The sequence below is a fragment of the Homo sapiens genome, chromosome 12 (assembly GCF_000001405.40).
Source record: "Homo sapiens chromosome 12, GRCh38.p14 Primary Assembly".
NCBI classification, from domain to species: Eukaryota; Metazoa; Chordata; class Mammalia; order Primates; family Hominidae; genus Homo; species Homo sapiens.
Window position 1 is genome coordinate 52443633 of NC_000012.12, and position 8790 is coordinate 52452422.

The window sequence follows — 8790 nt, forward strand, 5'->3', positions numbered from 1 at the left end:
GGACAAAATAAGGCACCAGAGACTGACCCTAAAGTAATAGAGAAAGCAGCATGTAATATAAAGATCTAGTAATCACAGTGGTGTGATCAGACAAAGAGATCAATGACACAGAAGATAAAGTGTATGAATTCAGCATGTAATAAAAATGGCATTTCAATGGTGGAAAAAGTAGGATGTTGATCTTTATGTAGCAGAAAAGTATGAAAATGAAAATAGCAATTACCCAAATTCATACTCCTCAGAATTAATCACTATTAGTATTTTGTCCTGGCAAGATGGCGAACCAGCTGGGGCTGTTATCTTCCTCCCACAGGATGAATCCTGAGAAACTGTAGAAACACATGAAAGGCACGGATACTAGGACGTATGAATTTTTGTTGTTTATCTGTAGTTCAACTTTAACTGAGGTTTCAGTGCAGTGGTTCATGCCTATAATTCCAGCACTTTGGGAGGTTGAGGTGGAAGGATCACTTGAGCCCAGGAGTTTGAAACCAGCCTGGACAAATAGTGAGACCCTAACTCTACAAAAATTACAAAAAAGAAGAAATTATCTAGGCATGGTGGTGCATGCCTGTGGTCACAGGTACTCAAGAGGCTGAGGCAAGAGGATCACTTCAGCCTGCGAAGTCCAGTCAGCAGGGAGCCATGATTGCACTACTCTACTCTAGCTTGGGTGACAGAATGAGACTATGTCTAAAAAAAAAACACAACAAATTTAACTGGGCTTCCTCTATTTTGTCTGGACAACCCTATTCACAGGAGACTGGGATGCCTGCTCCAAGTCTCAAGCCAGCTGGCATCTAGCTGGCCTCTCAGAGAGGGTAAGCATCTGGATTTCACTTGAGGGTAGTGAGGGACCCTGCCAGTAGCCTGCTGTCCTCGAGCTTTTTACCTGAGGGGGGAGAATGACTTTGCCTGGCACACTGGGAAGTTGTCCTAACAGCTTTTGGGACTTGAACAACGTGGCAGTTCCTACGCTCTGCTTCCACCATGCCTTTGACTTCAAACTCTAGACTGCAATGATAGAAAGGGAGGGGGTCACTAATTCCCCAAAGTCTCCTCCCGCTCCAAAGCTTCTGCTAATGACCTACTCAGTGGCAAGACGTTTGCTCACCCACAGACAACCATGGGAAGAAGGCCAGACCTCAACTACAGTAGTGACGCATGGGAAAGAGTCTCTGCTGTGGCATCAAATGGGCAAAATATGACCATAACTGAAAGAGTTATTGTTGTTCTTCAGGAATTTTCTTTCACTTTGTATTCTTCTGCTCACGGATAAGACCTGATTAGCCAGTTTCTAGAATAAGCTTGTGTAAACATGGCCTAAAAGATAGAGAGTCTGTTTCCGTCTAAAAGTGAAAATTACAACCCTGATGTTGATATCTGGTCAATTTGAATGAACGTCCAACCATCAATTTTTGCTTGTCAAAATTATCATGAAAGTTTACAGTTAAAATGTGCATGGTTTTTTGTTTTGTTTTGTTTTGTTTTTGCATCCTATCATCAAATGAGGAACTCCCTTAACCTTCATCATCCAGGCTGGAGTGCAGTGTTGCAATCATAACTCACTGCCACTTCAGACACCTTGGCTCAAGTGATCCTCCTGCTTCGGCTTCCTAAGTAGCTAAAACTACAGGTGTGCACCACCATGCCCAACTAATTTTTTAGTTTTTTTGTACAGACAGGGTCTGGCTATGTTGCCCAGGCTGGTGTCACACTCCTAAGCTCAAGTGATTCCTGCCTTGGCCTCCCAAAGTGTTGGGATTACAGTCATGAGCCGCTGTGCTCAGTCCCCATGTTGATCTGAGTGTCGTCTGTCAGCGTGGACCATGTTGTCTCATGGACCATGTCATCTTTGCCAGCAGCACCTCAAAACAAACTCTCTAATTTTATAAAGAAATTTTATGAATTTATTTTATCTTTTTTTACAACTTCACTTTTTCTAAGGGTTGTTGAGGTATAATGTACAGACAGTCAAAGTCACTGTTTTTAGGTGTACAGTCATAAACATTCTAACCAGCCTTTCCCAAGATAAGTTCTTTTTTTCTTTTTTTTTTTAGATGGAGTTCTTGCTCTGTTGCCCAGGCTGGAGTGCAGTGGCATTATCTTGGCTCACTGCAACCTCCACCTCCCAGACTCAAGTGATTCTTGTGCCTCAGCCTCCTGAGTAGCTGGAATTACAGGTGCATAACACCATGCCCAGCTAATTTTTGTATTTTTAGTAAAGACGGGGTTTCTTCTTGTTGACCAGGCTGGTCTCAAACACCTGGCCTTAAGTGATCCACCTGCCTCGACCTCCCAAAGTGCTGGGATTAACAGGTGTGAGCCACCAAGTCCGGCCCCAGGATAAGTTCTTAAGTTCAGCCCATGTATCTTTGAGTTGTGTCAAAACCATTCCAAAACATATGGCACTGCATGGCTTTAAATCCATACACTGAGATTTGAGGATGCTCCTTTACTGTATCTATTAGTTTGAATGATGGATTTTAGAAGTTTATATCAGAGCAAGCATTGGTGGCAAAAGTCTTAATAATCATAGAGTCAGGGCAAGCACCTGCTTCTTACCAAGTGTTTCTGATCTGCAGGGTCAGTGCAATATTTCCCTGGTGGTGGGGAGCCGGGGAGAGAGGGAGTCTCAGAGATCAGTGTGGGGTCAAGCCACCAAATGATGGGGCTGAAAAATAAAAAATATAAATGAATCTTAGTTATCAGATTATGCTGATCCAGATTCCAGGAATTAGCTTCCCTTTTTGTTCTGATGCTTTATAAAAGACTCCATTTGTGGAAAAATTCCCAAGTGGTGAGGGCTGAGTAGTTGGTGATTGTCCACCGGAGTGTCCGACAGAATCACATAATGTTGACTGATGGAGTAGGCTGTGGAGGGGGAGCTCCCGACTCATCCTCCATGATGACTGGTCAGTGGGGAGAGCAGCAGTTCCCCAAAGATAAGAAACCATTTGTGGGGTGCGAATGTTTCTAAACCAGGAAGTGGTCAGCAATACAATCTAACACAACATGTTCACATTCTCAATATGCTTTATTCAACAGAACAAAAGAAGGCAAAGAGAGCAGAGAAAGCAGTGCAGGAATGCAGACTGCATCAGAAGGTACATCACTTGCCATTCAGGGACACTGCAAGAGAAGATCAGGACAACTGACTTGTCAGATGAGAACTCCTGAGTGTAGCTATAATGGGCAGGATGGTTAGCAATTAAAGAGAGGACTCCTCATCTGCAGCTGGACCTAGACTGAGTTTCAGTTCTTATGGGGATATAGGTCATTTTCTTCTCAGAATTATGGCAGACTCAGATACCTGTAATAATACGGGAACTAAAAAGGACATTCGCATGTCTGAGTGCTGATAACTGTTGACTTGATGGTAAGCAACAGGAGCTCAGTGGAACAGGTATTGATGAGAAGAAAAGTGAGGGCATCCCAGCTCTACCCGGGAGGGCAGGGGAGACTGGAGGCCAGGGGAGGACAAGCAACCTGAGGAGAGGGCTCTGCTGCCAGAGAGGGGCCTGAGAGCTGTGGGACTGAGAGCTGGCGGCAGCACTTCAGTGCTTGTAGCTCTTCCTGCTGGAGGAGGAGGTGGTGGTGTACTTGATGGTGGAACTGCCGCCTCCAACAGAGCTGAGGCCACCCCCAGTGGCTCTGCCGCTGCTGGAACTAAAGCCGCCTCCAACGCCAAGACCACTGCCATAGGAGTAGCTGCTTCCTCCACCCAGGCCTAAGCCACTGCCGACACCGCTGGCACCGCCATAGCCACTGGAGACGGTGGACTGCACTACAGCTGTGGTGGGGAGGGGACAAGGACACAAGAAGCCACAATGAGTTCATCCTGCCGGCCTGAGCCCAGTCAGGAGAGTGCAAGGGCAGGGGAGGAAGGCAAACAAAGGTACTTACAGATGTTGACTTGTCCAACGCCTTCGCCATTCAGCCTGTGGAGAGGAACACAGGGAGGGTGAGACCTTCCCTGGACGAGCATGGGAAGCCTCAGTGGGTGGGAAAGTCCATGGGAAAACTTTTAGTTTTCTCCCAAGAAGAGCAATTATGGCCTTGGGCAGTGCACCTTAAAGTTGTGCTCAGTGCCAGAACCTTGAAGATGGACTCAGCTGTTGGAGGAAGTCGCGTCAGTTACCCACCTGCACTCCTCGCCCTCCAGCAGCTTGCGGTAGGTGGCGATCTCCACATCCAGGGCCAGCTTGACGTTCATCAGCTCCTGGTACTCCTTCAGCAGCCGGGCCAGGTCCTGCTTGGCCTTCTGCAGGGCATCCTCCAGCCCTTCCAGCTTGTTCTTAGCATCCTTGAGGGCCATCTCCCCACGCTGCTCAGCATCAGCAATGGCGGCCTGTAGGTTGGCACACTAGGAGGGCAAAGGAAGAGAAAGAACTTGTCATCTGGTCTTCCAGAGAAGAATAAACCTGGCTGGTTCTTTTCCAGTGAAGAAGGCACCAGGAACCCAGAACTGATGGTAAATGAGCTCTGACTCTTCCTGTCTAGCCTTTTTACTGTCTTCAAAGTTTTTACGTCTGGAGTCACATGATAAAATCCTGTGCCCTTTCTGTTAACTCCACTGCCTAAAGATGTGGGTGATGACCAATGGAAGATGCCACAGTGGACACAAGACCAAGGACATTAAGTGTTGGCTCCAAAGCAAAAAAACCAAAACCATTTTTGATGACCTTACATGGATGCCACAATAATTTGCAAACGTTGTCAACTGAGGTGATGAGTTTTCACATGAGGCTGTTGTGACCTTGCCTTCCTCCTGCCTCACATCCTCTCACCTGCTTGGGCCACGTTTTCCTTCCTCATAGCCCTGGTTTCACTTGCTTTTTCACCGTGAACCTTGAGCAGATTTGCAGCAATGTTACTGATGCTTTCTGACCTGACATCTTGCCCAACTTGGTCCTTTGCAATTCCAAAGTCAATCAGTCTTCTTACATAAGCCCTTCCAATGCCTCTAGACTATACTTTTACAGCTTTGACCAGCTGAGAGTGCTTCTGCCCAGGTGATTGTTTCATATCCTTGGGTGTGATCCATGTCTCTGAGCCAGAGTGTTCTCACTGAGCCTAGGAACTGCATGTCTTTCCTTCTCTGCTTATCAATCAATTCCCAAAGAATTTTACTAAATGATGGGTGACTACTGCCTCATGACCTAATAAAAAAAATGATGCTTTTCTCCTCCATTGCCCCTCACCATACCTGCTTCTTGACGTGGTCGATCTCAGATCTCAGCCTCTGGATCATGCGGTTGATCTCAGCAATCTCCTGCTTGGTGTTGCGCAGGTCGTCCCCATGTCTGCCTGCTGTGATCTGCAGCTCCTCGTACTGCAGCCCAGAGGTGGAGAGAGAGACAGTGTCTACGGGTTCTTACCTGGGAGCGATGACTTTCACTTGTGTATCATGAATGTCATGAAGTGGACCTAATGGCTTCTCCCCAAGAAACTTGAGGAAAAGTTGATGTTATGTGGTGGGTGGATACTAAACACTGGAGTCACAGACCATCCTTATTATGGCACCACTGCCTGCCTAGTTTTCTTAGGGAGTAGAAATGTTCTGTACCAATTTCTAAAAGTCAGCAACCAAGGTGAAGCTAAAAGCACAGATGACTATGTCCTTGTCTATCGTAGCTTGCCTCCTGCATTGGGTTGTTTTTCCTCCTTGACTTGGGCATAAGTTCCGCAAATGTCTACTCTAATAGTGCAGAGTGCATGTCCTGTGAGAGGACCCCAGCTTCCTGTCAGGGGATGTCCCCAGTGAAGTCTGCAGTCCTCTGGTATTCAGGGATGGACACAAGGATTCCTCAGCGGCTGTCCACTCCGTGCTCACCTTTGTCTGGTACCAGGACTCAGCCTCAGCCCTGCTCCTCTGAGCAATCTCCTCATATTGGGCCTTGACCTCAGCGATGATGCTGTCCAGGTCCAGGTTGCGGTTGTTGTCCATGGATAGCACCACGGATGTGTCTGAGATGTGGGTCTGCATCTGGGACAGCTCCTGCAGAACAGAAGGTCATAAGATCAACTTCACTTCTGACATTTACAGAGATGCCCAGCCCTGTACATCTTCTCCCCTTTGCAGACCCCATCAGAGTAAACAGAAGGATGGTGGAGTTGCTTACTGCATCATACAAGGCTCTCAGGAAGTTGATCTCATCTGTAAGAGTGTCTGCCTTGGCTTGCAGTTCAACCTTGTTCATGTAGGCAGCATCCACATCCTGGGGAAAGAGCCAACAACCTGGAGTTGCCTGAGCTCACCTTTCCAATCTACCCATCTTCTAGTCCTCCTGCCAATTCTCCTCTCCCAGGGGAGCGAGGACACAGAGCCACTTCTCTCCTTCTAAATGAATTTGAACCCCTGGCTTCATCTGCTCACCTTCTTCAGAGTCACAAATTCATTCTCTGCTGCTGTGCGCTTGTTGATTTCATCCTCATATCTACAGGAAGAAAGGCATGGGACACATTTGAGCCAGTGGGTAGGATGAAACAGAAAAGCAGCTTGGGATTCAACATTTTCCTGAATGGAATATATTCTAATTGAGCTTTCCTGCCACAGAGAGCCAAAGAGATGAATTTTGCTACTACTAAATTTGCCATTTCTTTAATCTCCCCATCCTCCCATAACCATCTGTGGTTCTTGCAGGTTTGCTCCTAGGGACTAATTTGTGCTTTTCATTTCCATGGACATGGGTTGTTAGGAATCCTACACACATCTGGCCCTGGTCACCCAATAGTCTTGAAGTGTGTGCTGCAGGAAATGGAGTCCTCACTTGTTCTTGAGGTCCTCCACCAGGTCCTGCATGTTTCTCAGCTCCGAGTCCAGACGACCCCGTTCCCCCACGATGTTGTCCAGCTGCCTCCTGAGGTTGTTGATGTACTGCTCGAACAACGGCTCCAGGTTCTGCCTCACAGTCTTGGTGCCCTGCTCCTGCAGCAGGGTCCACTTGGTGTCCAGAACCTTGTTCTGCTGCTCTAGGAACCGCACCTGGAGGGGAAGCAAAATGGTCATTTTCCAGGAAAAGGAAGGCAGAGAAAGTGTCTGGTATCCAGTTTCCTGGAGGTCTGGGAGGTCCCCATGGTGCTGGGCTACTACAGTGCATGTAGAGAGGCTCAGGCTGAGCTCTGCTCCCCCAACTCCTTCTCCTTTGCACCCCACCAGTCTCACTAGAGAAATTGTCCCACGGACCACTGAGGTGTTCTCGCACTGTAAGCTATTGATCATCAGTGAGTTTCAACATTTCTTCTTTTCTTTTTCCAAGCACAATCACAAATCTAGTTTAAAAATACTAATTACCTGATATATTGTACACAGTTTTTTTTACCGAGAGGATCTTAGTTAGGAGGGATATTAGATGTTGACTCATGATTACATTTCAGTCTACTTTCCCATTTAGTGTCTCCTCTCAAATATTCTGATGTTATGGTCATTCTCTGTTTTTAAAATTAATTAGCATTTATCCATGTTTTACAGTTGTTTCTATGTCCCTTTTTTTCTTAATCCAGCCAGATTATCTTTTCCTTTTCTTTCTAAATCTTTTTCCTCTTACCCAGACCCCAGAGTGTAATTTACCAGCCCATATACTCCTGGCATTTGCTTTGTAATCTCTTAAACACTTCAGAGGGGAGAATTAACCTACTCCACTCTCTGATGGCCTCATCTGTGCTTCAGGGTTATGAAAAGTTATGGCTCTCCCTAGGCAGGAGTGAGGGCCACTCCAGATATCCCATGGGGGAGTGATGCCCATCTGTGCTGCCTCCTGTGCACCGAGAGCCACCTGCACTCTCTGCAGAGCTGGGCTGAGTCCCCTTCTCCCTCCCTCCTAGGGTCTCTCCGGCAGGAAGGTGTTGCTCTTCTGGTCTGGGGACCCTGAAGTGCCCGATGGAGGGCATGGCACTGGCTCACCTTGTCGATGAAGGAGGCAAACTTGTTGTTGAGGGTCTTGATCTGCTCACGCTCCTCGGCCCGCACCCGCTGGATGGCGGGGTCAATTTGCAGGTTGAGGGGAGTCAGGAGACTCTGGTTGACAGTGACCTCTTGGATGCCTCCAGGGGGGCACACAGGGAAGCCAGGGCCCCCAAAGCCACCAGCAAGGCCGGCTCCACCACCCAGACCAAAGCCAATGCCGGCTCCACCACCGAAACCAAATCCACTCCCGGCGCCACCAAAGCCATAGCTGCCTCCGGCTCTGCTGCCATAGCCGCCACTGATGGCACAGCTGCCCCCTCCAATGGAGATCCTCTTGGAGCCCCCCAGGCCATACAGACTGCGGCTGCCAAAGCCAGCTCCTCCACATGCGCCACCCAGGCCACCACTGCCCCTGGAGCGGGACACGGAGATGCTGCTGAAGCCAGAGCGGCTGACCCCAGGGAGCCTGGCTGAGTTGGCACTGAAACCCCGGCGGCTGCTGCTGTGGCTCCTGATGGTGGTGGATGTGCTGGCCATGGTTCCAGGAGATGAGAGGGCTTAGGAGAGTGTGAGAGGCTGGAGGCGAGAGGGAGGAGAAGCAGGACGAGGAATCGGACTCCAGTAGCAGCTTATATATGGAGAGCATGGGCTGGGCCCAGTCCTGGAAGGTGAGCTTGCAGGTTGGGAAGGGCTGGGCTTTACAAATAGTGAGATCACACCTGCATTATTACAAAAGTTATGAAATACCGAGATTGCATTTTTCGCTTCCTTTAGTCAGGCAAAATGTTCCTGCCTCCAGCTTTGACTTGAGATCTCAGCACAATAAGAGTATTCTCAATTCATGAAGTTGGAATTAGTCACTGTCTTCAGCAAAGGTTCTG

The 8790-nt window shown here is 48.1% G+C and overlaps 1 protein-coding gene across 1 annotated transcript; it reads right to left on the minus strand.

Annotated features, from left to right (window-relative positions):
* KRT6B (keratin 6B) lies at positions 3019 to 8514 on the minus strand. The gene is made up of 9 exons (NM_005555.4): positions 7907 to 8514; positions 6774 to 6988; positions 6380 to 6440; positions 6126 to 6221; positions 5837 to 6001; positions 5210 to 5335; positions 4146 to 4366; positions 3907 to 3941; positions 3019 to 3793 (listed from the first exon to the last, which is right to left on the minus strand). Exons 1-9 carry the CDS (start codon positions 8444 to 8446, stop codon positions 3558 to 3560), a joined length of 1695 nt encoding a protein of 564 aa, NP_005546.2. The 5' UTR covers positions 8447 to 8514; the 3' UTR covers positions 3019 to 3557.

Coding starts and splice junctions, on each gene's coding strand:
- KRT6B (NM_005555.4), bottom strand. CDS start 8,446: ATGGCCAGCACATCCACCACCATCAGGAGCCACAGCAGCAGCCGCCGG. Junction 6,441..6,773: donor GTGGAGGACCTCAAGAACAA/GTGAGGACTCCA, acceptor TTCTTCCTGTAG/ATATGAGGATGAAATCAACA. Junction 6,222..6,379: donor AATTTGTGACTCTGAAGAAG/GTGAGCAGATGA, acceptor CTCTTTCCCCAG/GATGTGGATGCTGCCTACAT.